Source organism: Homo sapiens, chromosome 4 (assembly GCF_000001405.40).
Source record: "Homo sapiens chromosome 4, GRCh38.p14 Primary Assembly".
In the NCBI taxonomy this organism is placed as follows: Eukaryota; Metazoa; Chordata; class Mammalia; order Primates; family Hominidae; genus Homo; species Homo sapiens.
The window spans coordinates 53,899,214-53,919,500 of NC_000004.12; the positions used below are offsets into that span (position 1 = coordinate 53,899,214).

Below are 20,287 nucleotides of genomic sequence, written 5' to 3' on the forward strand. Positions count from 1 at the left end.
CACCCTTGAATGGCAATTTTTTTTAATGTTGCTTTTGCTATAAATTAATGTTGGGCTGGGGTGGGTAATTTCATCTCTAAGCCTCCTCCGCTGAAGGCAGGACTACATCTCCCCTATGAAGGTGAAGGGTATGTTTTCCTGTCCTACGTTTTGAAAACATTTATGCTTATCAGCATCAAATAACTGCCTTTTGTATTGAATTCAAAAGTGTAATTCACCTTAGAATGCTTCCATTCGACTGTAGTGACCATGAATTTAGAATCTAACACGAAGATACATTATATGACTAAGGATTTTTGAAAACTTGCAAAAACGGCATAAAAGTTAAAACACACTTATTCATACATGTGATAAATAAATGACTTTTATTGAAAAGAAAAACTTAACAGGACTGTGCCAGACAGCTGGGATGAAGAATGACCATCTGGGCAAATCCTCCTTGGAACGCAGATCCTCTTGTTACGGTCTCAGTGGAGGAAGTCAGTACCATCTCTTTCATAAATCTCAATCTATTTGAGGACATCCTTCAACTTTATCTTTAGAGAGAATGGCCACATTCTGCTGGCTGTGACCCAGTCTCTCCAGAGCCCAGCCGTGGACATAAAATTTGGAAAAGGGCCTGGCGAATGCCACGTCTAGAGAAGGATCATTTCCTGGGGCTTTTGGGTTATGTTCCTATTAATATAAATCATCGTCTCCATTTCAGAAGAAGAACCAAAACACATCTGATCTGCTCTTAAAGGAAACTCAATTGTGACAAGCAGAGGAAACTAAAGAGGTAAGAGTATTTCCTTGCTAGTGGTAGAATTGGCTCTAGAACCAGAAAGGTTAAATTATAAATCTTTGGCAAAACACAGCTTTCTTTACGTCATTTTCCTCTGGGACTAGATGAGAAACAGCTGGGTATTTGGCTAGAGAAACCGCTGGAAAAACTCACGTTGGTTAACAACACTTCTCCCAGACCTTCACATGGTGATTGCAGTTCATCTCAGCTCTAATGCCACCTCCTCAGAGTCTCTTTCTCTGACACTCAACCCCATGCCCTCTTCTTAAACATATCACCCTCTTCCTTTAGGGCACTTATCACAATCGGGAATGATCTTATTTATTTGTTAATAGTCTCTCTTCTCACAAAACATAAGCAGGATGAGAGCAGAGCCCTTGTCTGGCACCCTCGCTGTTGTGTCCTGGTCCTAGACCAGTGGTGGCACAGAGTAGGTGCCCAACACATATTTGCTGAATGAATGTAACATGACTGCATGATCATGTGCTTTTCTACTTCTTTCTTCCAGTGTTTCTTTAATGAGCATGGATGTAGTGTGCGATAATCATTACAGTTTTTCTTTGAAAAAAAAAACATCAGCCAAGCTGATTTCAAACTCCACTTGAAATACCTAGAAAACCTAGTTAGTGTAGGTTCCCATGGGTCCTGAAAGGCCAGGATTTTTGCCTTACTCATTTTCATATCCCTGGCATCCAACACAGAGCTTGGCACATCATGGACATTCAACAAATGGATGGGTCGGCCTGGTGTGGTGGCTCACACCTGTAATTCCAGCACTTTGGGAGGCCGAGGCAGGAGGATCATGTGAGGTCAGGAGTTCAAGACCAGCCTGGCCAACATGGTGAAACCACGTCTCTACTAAAAATACAAAAATTAGCTGGGTGTGGTGGCGCTTGCCTGTAATCCCAGCTACTCAAGAGGCTGAGGCAGGAGAATGGCTTGAACCTGGGAGGCAGAAGTTGCAGTGAGCCAAGAACATGCCACTGCATTCCAGCCAAGGTGACAGAGTAAGACTGTGTCTCAAAAATAAGAATCAGAAACAAAAACAAAACAAATGGATGGGTCTATAGCAACATGTGCCTGTGCTATGCTAATCACTTTATTTTTCATGACCTATCTCATTTAATCACCACAACAATCCTATGACGTTGGATTGTAATCCACATTTTACAGATGAAAAAAAAGGAGGCTTTTAACTTCCTTAAGTTAAAAAAAAAACAGCAACAACAAAAACTTTCCAGTAAGAGACAGAGATAGTATTTGGATGCAGGTCTGTCAGACTCAAAGTCACCTAATTGCTGCATCTTATGGTCTTTCTAACTTCCATAAGACAAAGTCACTCAGCAAAAGTTTTTTTTTTTTTTTTTTAAGGGCGGAGGCAGTGAAACCAATGATGCCCCCATGCTAAAGTCTGCATACTCTGATTGTAGCTAGATAACTGTTATCCAGAACAGGGCAAAGCACAGTGCAGGTGTTCAATAAATAACTGTTGGTTCGAAGAAAGGAAGGAGGAGAAGGAAGGAAGGAAGGGAGAAAAGGAAGGAGGGAGTAAGAGGGAAGGAAGGAAGAAGGGAGGGAGGGAGGGAGGGAGGGAGGGAGGGGGAAGGGAAGGGGAGGGGAGAAAGGGAAGGGAAGGGAATGGGAGGGGAGAAAGGGAAGGGAAGGAAATGGGAGGGGAGGAGAGAAGAAGGGAGGGTAGGGAAGACAATGGCAGAGAGAGAGGGAAGGACAAAGGGAAGGAAGGAAGAAGGAAGGAAGGGGAAGGGAAGGTAAAAGGGAAGGAAGGAGGAAGGCAGGAAGGAAGAAGGGAAGGGAAAGGAAAAGAAAGAAGGGAGGGAGGGAGGAAGGAAGGGAGGGAGGGACAAAGGGAAGGGAAGGGAGGGAGGGGTTGAGGGAGGGAGGGGAAAGGAAGGGAGGAAAGAAGGAAGGAGAAGGGAGATAAAGAGGAAGGGAGGGAGGGAGGGAGGGACGGAGAGAGGGAGGGGATAGTAAAGGAGGGCTTCTCTGAAGATCGTCAGAGAAAGACCAAGAGTCTTTGGCCAATGAGAGAATCAGCTTCCTGCTCTGTGACTGATGCTGCTGACATCCAGGGAGCCCCAAATGCCTTCCTTGACAGGGGGTACTTCTGCAACACCTGCCCCAGTTCTAGGCACATCAGCATCTCCAGCTTGCATTAGTGGTCACTGGGCCCTGGCTGGATTGACACTATGACCTACTGGAGAGGGAAGAAACAGAAACACCAGAGTCTTGAGTGAAAACTCCCTGTCTCCCTCCCACCTCTGGTTCCTCGGCCACACTGAGAAATATACTTTAAGATCAGACTCCAAAGCCCACGACTGACTTTACTTGGAGTGGAGATGGGATCAGTGTGTGTGTGTGGCATGCGGGCGGGCGGGAGGTGGTTAATAAACTTCTTTCTTTGATGATTGTGAAGACACAGGCTCTCTCTCCTTAGCAAGGGCTTCTCATTTGAAGCAGCGCGTGATAACTCATTGTGTGACCGCCTGTTTTCTCTGCAGATCTGAGCTGAAAAGGATCATACCAGATTTATTTCATTGCTGTAGAGCCAGTCCCACCACACTGCCTGGGCACATAGAAGGCATGTTTTGTTAATTTATGCAGTCAATACAAACTAATTGATTGCAGATCTTCAATCCTTTGTAATTCCAAACTCCCAAAATGCTCTGAAAACCAAAAGATTTTCTGTAAGCTGGCAGCAAGCTCATTGAACTCACCGGAACGGATGCATGGCAGTCCCCAGTCTTTATGATCTGCCTTAATTGTGACTACAGTCTTCTCCCCTCATCCATAGTTTCTTTTTCCGAGGCTTCTGTTACCAATGGTCAACAACAGTCCAAAAATATTAAATGGAAAAATCCAGAACTAAAAAATTTATGTTTTTAATTGCTTGCCATTCTGAGAGAAGTGTGATGAAATCTCACGCTGTCCCAGTCTGTTCCACCTGGGAAATGAATCATCCTTTTGTTTAGTATATCCATGTTGTATGTGCTGCCTTCCCCATACAGTGTGGTTATATAAGAAAAAACACAATGAGGCCAGGTGTAGTGGGTCACACCTGTAATCCAGCACTTTGGGAGGCCAAGGCAGGAAGACTGCTTAAGTCCAGAAATTCAAGACCAGCCTAGGCAACATATGAAGATCCTGTCTCTACAAAAAATTAACAAAATTAGCCTGATGTGGCAGTACACACCTGTAGTCTCAGCTACTCAGAAGGCTGAAGTAGGAGGATCGCTTGAGTCCGGGAGGTTGAGGCTACAATGAGTTGCGATAGTGCCACTGTACTCCAACCTGGGTAACAGAGCGAGACTCTATCTTAAACAGAAGGAGGGAAGGAAGGAAGAAAGGAAGGAGGGAGGGAAGGAGGGGGGGGAAGGGAGGGGAGGGGAGAGAGAGAGAAAGAGAGAAAGAAAGAAAAAAGAAAAGAAAGAAAGGAAAGAGAAAGAAAGAAAGAAAGAAAGAAAGAAAGAAAGAAAAAAGAAAAGAAAGAAAGAAAGGAAAGAAAGAGGGAGAAAGAAAGAGTTTACATAGGGTTTGGTCTTGCCCAAGCTTGCAGGCATCCACTGGTGGTCTTGGACTGGATCCCCCATGGATAAGAGGGCACTACTGTATTGATACATTTTGCATGTTTCACAGCAGAAAAGCAAATGTGTTTGATTATGGGATGCAGCCCCAAACTCTGTGGGGGTGTTATATAACTTAGTGATACTCACCATTTGAGATTCCTAAATTCTGAATTGTCAAAACACTTGGCCCCGATGGGCTTCAGATAAGGTGTTTGGGATGTGTATCTGTTTGTATCAGGCATTGAGGTGCTGAGAATACTGTAGTTGAATAAAACCATCAAGGCCTTTACTGTCTTGGAATTGACTTTTCAGCTAACAAGACAATAACAAGGAAGCAAATACGATAATTTCTGAAAGAGATAAGTGTTCTGAAGAAATGAAATCAGGAGAATGGAATAGAGATATGATGGATATTAGAGAAATCCTTGCTAAGAAGACATAAATAAAGAAAACGTAACAACCTGGTGAAGAGATTATTTCAAGGCACTTTCACTCATTCATTCATGCCCATTCCATTCCTACCTCAGGACCTTTATACCTGCTGTCTCTTTTACCTGGAAGAAGCAAATTATGTAACCTTCTCGAAACTCATTTTGCTTAAGATTGCTCATGTCTGTAAAGTGTCAGGGCTGGAACAAAAATCAAAGCTCTATGACACAAAGTTAGATTTGTGGGGTCATGAGGGAAACACCCACCTTAAGAGCAGGTTTGGAGGATTAGATAGAAGTTCTCTATGAACTTGACCACAATAGCTGATATCACAGCACAGTTTCTCCTCTCTCAGTAATAAAGACTCAGATCAAGGCAGCATCTCTCTGAGCAAGGAATGAGGATCCTTCTATAGAAAAGCTGGGACCTGGCTAGTGTGTCTACTGAACTGCTCTTTCAAAGTTCTGCACTCCCTCCACACGGGGCTTGAGTTTCCATAGACAAAAAAACATAACATGGTCACCAAAGAGAACCTTCAGCATTGTTTCTCCAGCAACTGAGACTCCAGTGAAAAGTACACCTTCCTGGGAACCAGCACCCAACCTATCCTGGACCAGGTCTCCCAGCCAATGGTGCTGCTCGTGAGTGTCCAGTCCTCAATTGTTTTGTTATTATTGTTGCTATTGTTGTTGGGTTTCCCTTGGTCTTCTTATTTAAGAGAAGGTAGAGGCTGCTCTAGGGGCAATGCTTATGCCTGGAACGAATGAGCCTTTATTGTGGACAAGCTCTGTGAGTGAAGGCCCTCCTTGAGTCTGGTGATAAAAATAGGCTATGGCCAGGCAGGATACAGAAGAGCATGACCAATCACCAAATAAAGGTTTATTGGCTTATACATTTTATTGTACCGTGACATCCCTCCTTTCAGCTTTAGATGTCAGCAGCTGGTGGCAAGCTTAATGACTGATGCATAGGGGAACAGCCATGGACACCACAGTTTGGCTCCCCCTAAAACAGTGATGCTTCATCCTTACTTGGCCAGCTTCTGGAATCCTAGTGAACACACTACAGAACATCAGGTTTGCCTGGGCAGTAACATCCAAGGGGAGCTTCCAGGTTCCTCTTGGCTGAGCAAGACTATTTTTTTCCTTATTTCAAAGAGCTGTTGTTCTGACTAAAGGAAGAGAGGATGTATATGGTAATGAGAACTGTATACATTTCTCCTAAAGTCTCCTACTTTATCTTCTTTAATTCTGCATCTGACTCTGCCTGGGTAGAAATCGTATTCAAAATTATCCCAGCCTCTTCAATCTCCTTAATAAGATCTCTCAAAATGGAACACACTGTCTCGTGTGCCTATAAGGGATGTGCAATGCCTCTTTTGTGCTTTTGTTCACTCTTATCTGATGTTCTAACACATTTTCACTTTGAGGAGTTTGGAAATGTATCTGCATAGTCATTGCCGTTTAAGTACTCCACTGATTACAAAATGCTTTCATACACATTGTCTTGAGGAAATGCTCTGAAAAATAAACTGCTAACACTCTGGTAAAGAGCCTTCTGCAGTTAGCAAAATAGTCACCAGGACCTTCTTTTTAAATGACTACACTTTCCACACTTTTTCTATCTTTGTTGACTTAAGTTCAAAGTCAAACTAGAAAATCTGTTTTGTCAGATGGAAGTTCGCTACTCACCGTTCTGAGAGGCTCCATGCACAGCTCATTGTGTTACCCCACTGCACAGAATCTACTCTTCTAGAGAGACACTGGCAGCTTTGTGCTTTGCATTTATTTATTCAATGCTGCAGTGGCTTAAGCCAGTTTATGGAAAATATCTCTAAACACTGAGACCTCAGGGCTAGGAGGAATTCCTAGACGAGCTCTAAATCAGTAGTTATGTTTGGCAGATTCTATATTCCCACGGAAAGGCCAACTAAACAGTCATTACGCTTTATAGGCGTGCCTGTGTGTCCTTCGTTATTTTGGAAGTATCAAGCAGGGCCTAGAAGCATGGTATAGTTAGTGCCAGCACATAGTGGTGGCCTGCAGTCCAACCATGCTGATTGATTTGATGTTTAGGGAGGCAGTTTCAGAGGAAATACGGTAACTCGCTTGTCTATCACCGTGCTTCCTGGATGAGCCCCAGAAATGCAGCGTTTGGGATACCATTAGCAAGCGTGTGGCAGCCTTGCCCTGCTGAGACTGCTGGTGATTGAAAAGTGCTCAAACTGTGGTCAGAGAAGAAGTGTGCAGATGAAAAGAAGGGAGATAAGTCTTCGATCACGACGCCTGCCCTTCTTCACCTAAATATCCCCCAGGACAGTTTGCCAAACACCAGCCTGTTGCTCAAATGAGAGAAAATAAGCCTTTAGTTTCTGTTTCCACTCTGCTTCATAAATTAACACCATCAACTGACTTTTCCCCGGCCTTTCTCCCACAGCTTATCTTTACTGCCAATAATCCTACCCATGAGAAAGATCTTTGACAAGTCAAGTACTACATAAATTCAAGAAATTCATATGTGGTATTTCATGCACATTTCAAATAAAGAAACTTACAAGGATACCGTTTAAAAAAAAAAAAGAACATCCCCATAGTTTTGAAGCAAATGTGCATTTTCTCGTTAGTAAAGAGACGTTTCCTTCCCTCTAACTTCCCAGTGTTGGACAAAGGACTAAAATTTCATGTTATAAGGAAAGCATGTAAACTCCGCACTGCTTTTCTCTGAAATAGCAGTCATTTCAATGATGTGCTCTATCATCAATCCCCGGAGACTGTAGGCTTTTCTGTAACTGGTTCCTTTTCGTTTTCCTCATTGGATAATAATTTTTCAGAATAAAATCTTTTGGTATCAGTATTTTCAAAATATTTCAAGACACCAGCCATTCTTAATCAGGCCACTGTGGAGCTCTATGCAATTAAGTTGCTAAAGTTAGGACAGAGCCCTTAGTTTCAGATTTCAGCTCCATATATCTGAATGGAAGCTCTTGAATGGATGAGCATTCTGACTACTGCCTGGCTAATAATTTTCCACTTGCATTTGGCCGATCCTACACACATGAGCATAAGCCAGTGTAAATGCTCCATCAGAGGCTCTTAGCAGGAAGAAAACAACTAAACAGATTCATTTCTTGACTTTCTTCTTTGATAGATATTTTCTTACTCTTAAATATACTTTACTCCTGATAATTTAGAGATCTATCGTTGGTGAGAGGATATCATGAATTATGAGTCCTTGCATTCTTTTTATAAAGGTAATATCCCCGGTTTGATGAGACAGAAATTTGCAATAGCATCTTTGCAGGGCTTTTCAAAGAGTAGTGGGAATGGAAAAGTTCCCTGGGACCCATTTCCTGACTGTTCCATTCGTGCTGATCACGACTTTAACCATGTTTTTCAAGCTGCCAATCAAAGCACACGTTCTATAAAATACAATTCCCTGGTAGGCACAGTGGAGCTAAATATTTGTCCCTAGAACTGTCCTGGGAGAGAAAGGACATAAAGTTGCTGCCACTAGGTTAAAATTTAAGAACAAAATTATAGGAAGCAGACTCCAAACTATTTTCTTAAATTAATTCTTCCTTTTCCAACCAGAACACAATCTCCCCTATTGTCATGTACGCCCTGATGCCTAGTTGGGTACACAGCAAATGTACACACATATCTGATGATTTACTGATGGACTGAATCCTCACAAATATTACATTTAAAGCTTTCAGATCAAATTAAATAATTTGCATTTGGGCAAACAGCCAACAGCACTCTAAACTGTACTCCTAACTAACGTTATTCCCTCCTCTACCTCTTCATCCCTGGTGTTCTCTGCAGACCTTCCAAATACAAACTCACTTTCACAAGAAAAAAAATAACTGCAAAGTATGATTCAGGTCAGCCAAGAAAGGAGGTCATATTAATTTTATTTTTCTTGCTCTGTTTCCCAGGCTGGCATGCAGTGGCATGATCTCGGCTCACCGCAACCTCTGCCTCCCAGGTGCAACTGATTATCCTGCCTCAGCCTCCTGAGTAGCTGGATTACAGGTACCTGCCACTACGACTGGCTAATTTTTGTAGTTTTAGTAAAGATGGGGTTTCACCATGTTGGCCAGGCTGGTCTCAAACTCCTGACCATAGATGATCCACCGCCTTGTCCTCCCAAAGTGCTGGGATTACAGGCATGAGCCACTGCACCCAGCCCATATTAATTTTTAATTTCTGTTTATGCCTATGAAAAATGTATAAGTTGTTCTACAAACAGAAATGCACTTCTCTTGCTAGGGTTGCCTCAATAAATTTAAGCAACGTGGCACTATATTTCCTTTATAAAGCTCCTTCCTACATATCTCACACAACACACAAGAAAGTCATAACCAAATTATTTAAGAAGAATTTCTCAAAACACTAAGACAAAAGCCGTCTCTTCTAAATGAGTAACGTGGAAGGTAATCTTGTTCCCTTACTGCTGACATGTAGCTTTCTGCCTGGGGTTTTATCTTTAACTCCCTGGTAATCCAAACGGAGCAGGAAAACCTCAGACAATAGAGCCTCTTTTTTGCTTTACATCCACTTTTTTGGGGTCGGCACCGAACAACCATCATTAAATGGTTTCTGGCGCAAAGTGGCAGGCTTGGGTAAGCTGAAATGTTTATGACACCAAAATAAAGATGTTCCACACTGCTGAAACCGGGGAGTCACGCAGAGAACAACTGAAATGGAATTACACACCAAGGTTTACTTAACTAGCACGACTTTAACTCGTGTCTGCCTGATACACTTACCAAAGAGAAGTGGCAGAAACCCAGGGTGGACAAAAGAGGGCAGTGTTCACTATGTCTTTCATCTCAGCTCTTCGCTCTTTATCAAATTGCCACTGAGCCAAGAGAAAACTATGTCCAGCATTTCATAACACAGGAAGTGGGGAAGCAGATTAGATATTGGGCTCTGCAGTCACCACAAAATAAGCAGTGTGCTCGTAAAAGTCACTTTTTTCCCTAGACGAAAGCTTAACCATTGGTGAGTTTTGGGGTTTGGTTTCTGTTTTTCAGTATGATCGGCTAAACCTCTCCAGGAAAATAATGGAATATGTAATATTTCTCAAACTATAACAGGTTATAAGGTTTATTTAGTTCAAAGCACTCATTTTTGCAGATGAGGACCAGGTTTCTACATTTGTCAGTGGCTTCTCCTTGTGCTCAGATATCATCAGTATGTGGGGAGGGGAAGACAGACTTCCCTCTTGGAGCTATTTAGAGAATTTTTAGTCATTTCAGAATAGAATCCATGTACGCCCTGTACACAAAAAAATTTAGGTCCCAGAAAGGGAATCTTGTCCCCTGCCCTGGATGTCATCATATTGGGTCGAACTTCATTCACATTCTTTGGGAAAAGCTTATGTGGACATGTCATTGTACCCAATAAAGGATTGCAGCCTCAGCACTCAAAAAGTGCACATTTTGCCCAGGTATCTGTCTATTCTTAGTTATAGATATCTAGTGTCATCTTTTAATAGGGAAAGACTCTTTAATTCTTTTGTAATTCCTGTTGTCCTATACATATTTTTGAGCTCCTGCGATGTATAAGCCTCTGTTGTTAGACATGCAGAAGTGAAAAGGACACAGTTCTAGCCTTTAATAAACTAAGCATCAAATAAGAATCAGATGGCCGGGCGGATCGCTTGAGGTCAGGAGTTCGAGACCAACCTGACCAACATGGAGAAACCCCATCTCTACTAAAAATACAAAATTAGCCGGGCGTGGTGGTACATGCCTGTAATCCCAGCTACTGGGGAGGCTGAGGCGGGAGAATCGCTTGAACCTTGGAGGCGGAGGTTGTGGTGAGCTGAGATCACGCCATTGCACTCCAGCCTGGGCAACAACAGTGAAACTCCGTCTCAGAAAAAAAAAAAAGAATCAGACAAGGCAGAACCAACCTTGTCAGTAACCGTAATACATCAACAACCATAATACAAGGCAGAATGGGGTTGGCTTAGAAGAAAAATACAAATTGCCAAAGAAGAGATTGTATTCATCAGGAGTGGAGAACTGAGGGAAACTTCACAAAAGAGAGAGCTGTGGAGTCGGGTTCATAGAATAGGTGGGCTTCCAGCGGGGTGTGGTGGCTCATAGCTGTAATCCCAGCACTTTGGGAGGCCAAGGTAGGCAGATCACCTGAGGTCGGGAGTTCGAGACCAGCCTGACCAACATGGAGAAACCCCGTCTCTACTAAAAATACAAAATTAGCTGGGTATGGTGGCACATGCCTGTAATCCCAGCTACTCAGGAGGCTGAGGCAAGAGAATCCCTTGAACCCAGGAGGCAGAGGTTGCAGTGAGCCAAGATTGCGCCATTGCACTCCAGCCTGGGCAACAAGAATGAAACTCCGTCTCAAAAAAAAAAAAAAAAAAAAAAAGGTGGGTTTCCAGAGGCACAGGGATGGTGAAGCTGAACAAAGGCAAAGAGGTAGGAGAGTGTGGGCCCAGTGAGCAGCCACGCACTTACACTCGCAAAGGGAAGAGATCAAATAAATGGCTTGAAATGCCAGTGAAAGCCTGCAGAGAGCTTCAACGTCAGGCTGGTGGACTTGATTCCCAAGGCAACCACAGGAAAGCACCAAAGGTTTTTGATGCAAGCAGGAACATGATGGGAGCTAATTTTAGGAAAATTGGTCTGCCATGAAGATGTGGAGCAGATTCAAAGGGAAAGCAGAGACAAGGAGGCCAAGGAAGGCACTGTTAGTGCTTAAACAGATGTAACGAAGTTTTGTGGTAGACACAACCCAAAAGGAAAGACAGGTACAAGTGTAAGACGCACAGTGTTTCAAAGTGTTTTGCCAACAAAGTAAATGTTGAAAAGCGAAGTTATAGCGAGGGAAGACTGAAAAAGTAATTCATAAAAGCACTAAGGGAAGGCTGAAATGCTGGGTGGGGTAAGAAACTCAGGAGTTTGGCCTTGAGTGTGTTGACTTGGATACTTCTACAAAATATAGATGGGGAGATGTCCAAGGAATCGCTGAAAACCAGGACTGGTGCTCAGAGAAAGGTTAGAAGAAGGTCACATTCCAAATCAAGGTATACCTGGCTGATGCTTGAAGACCATCATGCTTGAAGACCATCATTCTGGAAGACCATCTTGACATCCCAAATCACAGTTTGACACCATTTGCCATCTCTCTTCCAGGTGCTGTGCTGTTGGTTTAGGAATGCGGTTTTCTTGGATCTTGTATGGTTTCCACTTGTCTTGATATTGATATACAATGGCTTTTAAATGCCCAATATAAAAACAAGCATTGGGCCAGGTGTGGTAGCTCATGGCTGTGATCCCAGCACTTTGGGAGGCTGAGGCAGGTGGATCACTTGAGGTCAGGAGTTTGAGACCAGCCTGGGCCACACTATTAAACCCCATCTCCACTAAAAAGACAAAAATTAGCTGGATGTGGTAGCACACACCTGTAGTCCCAGCCACTTGGGAGGCTGAAACAGGAGAATTGCTTGAACCTGGGAGGCAGAGGTTGCAGTGAGCCAAGATTGCACTGCTGCACTCCAGCCTGGGTGACAGAGTGAGACCTTGTCTCAAAAAAAAAGCAAGGATTGCCATGAAACCTGAATTAGTCCCAGAGGGAGGGAAAGAGAATTCTTATTTGCTTTACAAATGGATAATTCCTATAGAAAATGCTAGTGCTCTGAAGACATTTTTTAAAACATGATCTGGTTTATATACAAGTAATTACAACAGCTTTCTAGGCAAACCTTCATTTAAAAAGTAAGGTATGGCAGGGCACAATGGCTCACGCCTGTAATCCCAGCACTTTGGGAGGCCAAGGCAGGTGGATCACGAGGTCAGGAGTTTGAGACCAGCCTGGCCAGCACGGTGAAACGCAGTCTCTACTAAAAATACAAAAAATTAGCTGGGCATGGTGGCACATGCCTGTAGTCCAGCTATTTGGGAGGCTGAGGCAGGAGAATCACTTGAACCTGGGAGGTGGAGGTTGCAGTGAGCTGAGATCATGCCACTTCACCCCAGCCTGGTAGACAAAGCGAGACTCCGTCTCACAAAATAAAAATAAAAATAAAAAGTAAGGTATATTCCAACATTTTGGACAGACTTACAACTTTGTTCTTGGGGAAAATGAAAGCAATGTTACTGGAAGGAAGATAGGACGTTAGGCGGCAGTATGGTGTATTGAAAAGACCTGGAATCAGGTTTAAATCCAGAGGTGCCCCTTATTAGGTATATGAGCATGAATACATTGCTTCACTGCTCTGAGACACAATTTCCACATCTCTACAAGAAAATAATAGAATGTTCTGTCCAAAGTTACTGTATTGCATAAGGTAATGTATATGAAATTGCTTTGCACAGGACTTGGCACAAAGTAGCTGCTTAATAAAAAGCTTAGAGTTCCTTGTGGTGGTCCAGTTGGAATCCCTTCTGGCCCCAAAATGAATGTCTCCCCCTTGACTCCTTCCCTGGGGTGCACCATGCCCCCTAGCCGTAATTCTTATTCAGAGCTTTGCTCTCTTGGAGATGTTTCTCTTTATCCATAACACATTGGGGCATTCAGGAATGCTGGTCCTGCCCTTTAGCTGGAGGACAATCATTTCAGACCCAAACCAGGCACTACGTGAAGGAGGTTCCAAACTCCAAACAGTGCCAGGTCCTTCTCTCCTCCACTTCAGGACCAGATGAAGACATCCTTCTTGGCTCTTTATTCTCTCAGCCTCCAGGAAAGAGTCAGACAACCCTTATAATCATGACTTCTTATTAAGCATTTACAGAATCATGCTATATGGCATCATTCTGGGTCCTTGGTTATGAAATCTTATACTTTAAGTATGCATTACTTTTAAATGACAAAAACCACAATTACTTTTGCACCAACCTAATACTTTTGTGAACAGTATTTTCTTTGATCTCTACAATAAGTCTATGGGAAAATAATGAGGTAGTTAAGAGCACAGACTGAGTGGGTTCGAACTGGAGCTCTACGACTCACTAGCTGTGTATACCCGGGCAGTTACTCATTCTCTCCATGCCTCAGTTGCCTCCTCTGCAAAATGGGGATAATAAGAGCACTTATCTCATGTGAGTTACTGTAGAGCTTAAATAATATATCTGTGAAAGCTCCTAGAACAGTGCCTGACACACAGCAAGTACGTTCAATTGCATTGTAGCCCATACTCTTCCAATGAGAAAACTAAGGCTTAAAAAGGTGAGGCAACTGCCTCAAAGTCACATGCCTTAAATGACAGTGCTATATGAAAAAAATCTCAATATCATTAATCATTAGAGAAATGTGAATCAAAACCACAATGAGATACCATCTCACACCAGTCAGAATGGCTATTACTAAAAGTCAAGAAATAACAGATGCTGGCAAGGTTGCAGAGAAAAGGGAACACTTATACACTGTTGGTACGAGTGTAAATTAGTTCAACCATTCTGGAAAGCAGTGTTGTGATTCCTTAAAGAACTAAAAACAGAACTACCAATCAAACCAGCAATCCCATTACTGAGTATATACCCCCAAAAATATAAATCATTCTACCCTAAAGACACATGCATGTATATGTTCATTGCAGCACTATTCACAATAGCAAAGACCTGGAATCAACCTAAATGGCCATCAATGATAGACTGGATAAAGAAAATGTAGTATATATACACCATGGAATACTGTGCAGCCACAAAAAAAGAACAAGATCATGTCCTTTGCAGAAACATGGATGAGGCTGGAGACCATCATCCTTAGCAAAGTAACATGGGAACAGAAAACCAAATACCACATGTTCTCACTTATAAGTGGGAGCTAAATGATGAGAACACATGGGCACAAAGAGGGGAACAACAGATACCGGGGCCTACTTGAGGGTGGAGGATGGGAGGAGGGAGAGGATCAGAAAAAATAACTGTTAGGTACTAGGCTTAGTACCTTGGTGATGAAATAATCTGTGCGCCAAACTCCCATGACACAGGCTTACCTATGTAACAAGCTTGCGCATGTATCCCTGAACCTAAAATAAAAGTTAAAAAACAAAAATAAATGATAGTGCTAGAACTTAAACTAAGAACTCTCTTGACAACCAGGACCACACATAATTTGATTAAAAGAAAGCAAAATAAAAGTCTCTTTTATTCCCTCTTTTTTAGAGAGTTTCTTCATCAGAGCTACCTGTGTCTTGCTCATTCCTCTCCCTTCCTTCTTTCTCCCCTCAAAAGATTAAAGGTTACATTGTGAAAAAAAAAAAAAAAAGTTTTGTATTGGGATCACATCTAAGGTTGACTGCTTGCTCTCTCATTCCTCAGCTAGTCCATTCTGTGGGTCTTCCTCATCTTGAATCAGATTCTCTGATAAGCTCATTACTCCATTTATCTGTTTAGCAAATACTAATTGAGTCAGCATCCTCCTAGGTACTAGATGCAACGATACAGTCCCACCCCCCGGGTGACAGTGTAGTTAGTCAAGTCATTGTTTACTAGAAGTAACTGAGTTACCAAAGGAAATTATGAAATGTTCTTCTCTTTAAAAATAGGATAGCTTCTTAGTCAGCTGCCTGTCTGGCTAACTTATCTAGAAGACAAGAGAGCAAAGGCCTGGGAGAGATTCATATCAAACAGAGGGGAGGCTAGTTCTTTGTAATTTGACTAACAGCCCAGAACAGAGCTGAGAAGACCCAGGCAACGTATATTTTGTATGCCATTGCTTTTAATGGCTGCAATTACTTTTACACCAACCTAATATAGCAAGGCAGTGAAGAGCCAGGTCTTGGTAAGAATAATGTGATTTTTGCATCACAGCCCTGCCATTTACAAATGGTACAATATCATGCAACTTCCTGAGCTCTTTCTCAGCTTCCTTATGATATTCCTCATGCAGTTGGGCAAGATGTTAAGAAAATGGGTATGCAAAATGCTTGGCACTGAGCCTGCCACATAGTGGGTGTTCAATAAGTGGTGACTTACAATGTTATAATAGGGCAAATTATAACGGGCTGGGGAAGGGCATGATGCATAGGGCAAGCTCACCTAGATTGTGCTTCTAAAAGGGGCTGCCATCTGCTACAACAGGCTTCCAGAAAAGTCTAAGCCAGGTTTGCTGCCATTGAGTACTGGACCAAGCTGTCAACCTCTAGAATGGAAATGCCTTCAAGCTACTAATGTCATCAAGTAGCCAAGTCACCGTCTTATGTAAAAGCTTCGACTTTGTTTCTCTGATTTCATCTTTGCCCTCTATTGTCTAATCTTAACACAGTTTCCAAAGAATAAGTAAGTCAGATATGCCATTCCTCTGCCTCAAGTCTCCCAGTGGACATCTTTTTCTTGCAGAATAGGCCATTGGTATTAAAAAGAGCTTGGCCAGGCGCAGTGGCTGATGCCTGTAATCCCAACACTTTGGGAGGCTGAGGCAGGCAAATAACTTGAGCCCAAGAGTTCAAGACCAGCCTGGAAAACATGGTGAAACCCCATCTCTACAAAAAAAATACAAAAAAAATTAGCCAGGCATGGTGGTGTGTGCCTGTAGTCCAGCTGCTCTGGAGGCTGAGCGGGGAGGATTGATTGAGCCCGGGAGGTGGAGGTTGCAGTGAGCTGAGATTGTGCCATGACACTCCAGCCTGGGCAACAGAGCTAGACCATCTCAAAGAGAGAGCGAGAGAGAGAGAGCTTGTTGTTAGTCCAAAAACATGCTTCTTCCTCCAGGCAGACACAATCCTGCATCAAGGCACAAGGCTTGGTGAGCTCAGGCATTACGGTGCAGTGAACAGATCTGCACAATGCTAGGCTTCCTGGCCACTTCCTCTCTCACTTCATCTCCTGTTACTCTTCTCCTCACCCTCTCTGATCCAACTGCACTTGAGTTCTTTGAACAGCCCATGCATGCTTCTGCCTGGGTTCCTTTGCACTTATCATCCCCTCTGTCTGGAAGCCTCATCCCCTAGACAGTCTCTGTCTTGCTCCTGATCACCTCATTTCCTTCTCTGTTTGCAAATCATCTTTGAGTGAGGTTTTCATCTACCTCCATATTTCAAATTGCAATACTTCTTCCCCTGGGAAATATGGCCATATTCCCCACCCCTGCTTCAAAGTCTCCACAGCACTCATCACCATTTAGCATATTATACTATTTATAATATATATTGATTTTACACTCTCTCCTCCCATTAGAATATAAGTTGCACGAAGGCAGGGAAATTTTACTGTTTTTCACTGCTCTATCTCCAGGGCCTGGCCCATGGCAGGAGCTCAGGAAATGTCAGATAAATGATTGAATTTACAAGAACAAGCCCAACAGTTAAGAAAACTTCAGCTCCTGCCTCCTGCCCATGCAGCCCAGAAGGGCCAGTTTCATGCCATGTTTGATTGCCGCTCCGGTCCCAGGAGGGATGGAATCTGCTGTCTCACCAAGACTTGGGCATGAGGCTGGCCTTCTCCAGAAGCTCCAGGCCCAGAGAAACAATACATCTAACCAAAGTCCCCCAGGGAGTCTTGGCACACAGTTGGTGCTCAGTGGACATTGGAATGTTTCAACAGCCATGTCTCCTTGTTGCTGAACTGAGCAACATCCATGGACATCCATGGGACAGATGGTTCTCTCTCCAGCATGGAATCAGAAGGCCTGGTTTCAAGTTCCAGGACTGTGCCTCATTCATTGTGTGTTGCTGGCTGAGTCACTTAACCTGCCTGAGCAAAGAACAGAGAAGCAGTCAGATTTGGAATCCACTGGGGAGGCAGGGTTTGTAAAACTTGTTGATTAAATGAACAAGAGTATGTGGGAATGAGAAGAATCAAAATCTAAGCCAAGCATCTGGCCTGAACAGCTGGGTGGTCAGTGAACCCATTTCCTGGAATGAAGAAGATGGGAATGCAGGGGTGTTTTTGGAGTGGAGTTTGGGTCAAGAGTTTGGATTTCTATGTAATGGAAGTTGTGGGCAGCCATTGGAAGGATATTGACTTTCCTTCCAAGGAGCTGGAGAGCTTCTTAGAGGCCTTTGTCACACCTACCTGGTTCTCCCAGCTCTCTCCAGCTAACAGCCCAAGTCCTTCTCTCCGGCTACATGACCCTACACAGTATGGTCCCCACTGCCTCTCTGCCCACTGCCCATAGGACTCCTTCTTGCTCTCTGTTGGCCCCTGCTCTAGGATGTGTCCCTTACTTTCTCAGCAGGACCTTCTCATCTCCCAGATACCCACCTGGCTCTCCCATCACCTCCTTCAATCTTTGTCTAAATGTCACCTTCTCAAGAAAACCAAGCCTGGCCACTCCACTCTCTGCAAAAATAGCAAAACTCTACCCTTCCTCTCTCTAGTATCCCCTGTCCCTCTCACTGGGTTTATTTTTCTTCAAAGTACTTACCACATTCTAATTCACTCACACCTAGAATCTCTGCTTCCTCTCACTTGAATATAAACTTCAGGACGGCAGGGATTTTTGTTTGCTTTGTTCACTGCTGTATCCCCACAGCCGAGAATGGTGCCCAGCATGTAGTAGGGCAGGGATTTTTGTTTGCTTTGTTCACTGCTATATTCCCACAGCCGAGAATGGTGCCTAGCATGTAGTAGGTGCTCAATAAATATATGTTAAATTCATTGAAATGCATTATGTTATCTTTCTTTCATATGAAAATCATTGTTCAAATATTGATTTGTTTTTAATAGGAAGTAAGAAAGAGGAAATTCATGTCTGAAGTTCTTTGCTGTCTTGATGACTCACTTCCCAGGTAAACTAAGACAGTTGGTCACTCCTCCTATCACTCCATTTCACAGTTGAGAAAACTGAGGCTTAATGAAATTCTGAGGCTCAGTGAGGCTTAGTGACATTATAATTTTTCTAGTGCCTTCAAAAAACTAACCTTGCATGGACCTGGGTAGGTCATCCAGCCAAACAAGTATAGGTGAGCAAGACCCAGCATGTTTTTCTCATACTCACACCCACTCCTGATGTGTCAGTGTGTGAGGATTAGATCTTAGATTAGCACAGATTTGAAAAGCCCTGTCATTCATGAAAAATAAAGCTATGAGTAATCTTTTCGTGGGATCCTGCGGAGGCAAGGACTCTTCTAGTCATCAGCACAGGACCCTGGATCTTGGCTTCCCTCTTTGATATTTATTAAGCACTACAGCCTTTAAGAAAGGCACATACACTTGAATATTCATAGCAGCACTATTCACAATAGCCCAAAGGTAGAAACAACCCAAACGCCCATCAAAAGATGAATGGGTAAACAAATTGTGGTGCTTACACACAATGGAATATTAATTCAGCCGGTAAAGAAGAACGAAGTAATGATACATACAACAATAAGTAGAGCCTCAAAACGGTATGCCAAGTGAAAGAAGCCAGACACAGAAGGACAAATATCATGTGATTCTACTTATAGGAAATGTCCAGAATAAGTAAATCTGTAGAGACAGAATGCAGATTGCTGGTTGCCAGGATGGTGGGAAGAAGAGTGGAGAGTGGCTGCATAATGAGTGCAGATGGGTTTTTATTTTGGAGTGAGGAAAACAGATAGAAATGGTGGGTTGCACAACATTGCAAATGTACTTAGTGCCACTTAATTGTTCACTTTAAAGTGGTTAATTTTATACTATGTGAATTTCATTTCAATTTTTTTAAATGCACACGCATACATTTGTCAAGTAATCCTTACATAAACCCTGTAAGGTAGATATTGCTACCATTATTCCCATGAGAAAACTGAGCCCAGAGCTGGAAAGGGACCTGACCAAGGTTCCACAGGTGCTAGACTTGAAGCCAAGGTCAGGTTGGCTCCAAAGCCTTGGCCCTTCTGAGCCACCAACCACTGATCCTCTCAGAGCTGGGCATGACCTCAGGAGAACCAAGGGTGGCTGGAGGCTGTGCTCAGGAGAGAAGAGGAAGGGTCAAAGTCGGGAAAAGCTTTGAGGTCTCTTTGCGGTTCCAACTTAGCATCAGCAAAACTCAGTGTTTCTACCTTTTTGCTCCTGGTACTTTGGTTCCATCGTATGACTGAGTTACACAGGCTTGATCTTTGTTCCTCTTGACTCCTTTTTTCTTCCTTCATTTCTTTCTTTCTTTTTTCTTTTTTCTTGAGACAAAGTCTTGCTCTTTCACCCAAGATGGAGTGCAGTGGTGCCATCATAGCTCACTGCAGCCTCAAATGTCTGGGCTCAAGCAATCCTCCCATCTCAGCCTCCCAAGTAGCTGGGACTACAGGCATGCACCACCAATCCAGGCTCTTGCCTCCTTACATCAAAGAACAGCCAAAGACGGCTGGGCGTCGTGGCTCATGCCTATAATCCCAACACTTTGGGAGGCTGAGGTGGACGAATCACCTGAGGTCAGGAGTTCGAGACCAACCTGGCCAACATGGTGAAACCTCATCTCTACTAGAGATACAAACTTAGCCAGGCATGAAGGCACAGTCCTGTAATACCAGCCACTTGGGAGGCTGAGGAGAAGAATCACTTGAATCCAGGAGGCAGAGGTTGCAGTGAGCCAAGATCATGCCATTGCACTCTAGT

General features: G+C 43.3%; 1 long non-coding RNA gene across 2 annotated transcripts; it reads left to right on the forward strand.

Annotated features, from left to right (window-relative positions):
* Positions 1-461: 461 nt before the first annotated feature.
* LOC124900702 (uncharacterized) lies at positions 462-18,370 on the forward strand. Of its 2 annotated transcripts, XR_007058119.1 has the most exons (3): positions 462-778; positions 4,681-5,438; positions 8,735-8,771. It is a non-coding gene; the product is annotated as an uncharacterized LOC124900702 (long non-coding RNA). The 2 variants fall into 2 exon arrangements; XR_007058120.1 differs by lacking the exons at positions 4,681-5,438; positions 8,735-8,771 and adding an exon at positions 17,006-18,370.
* Positions 18,371-20,287: the final 1,917 nt, after the last annotated feature.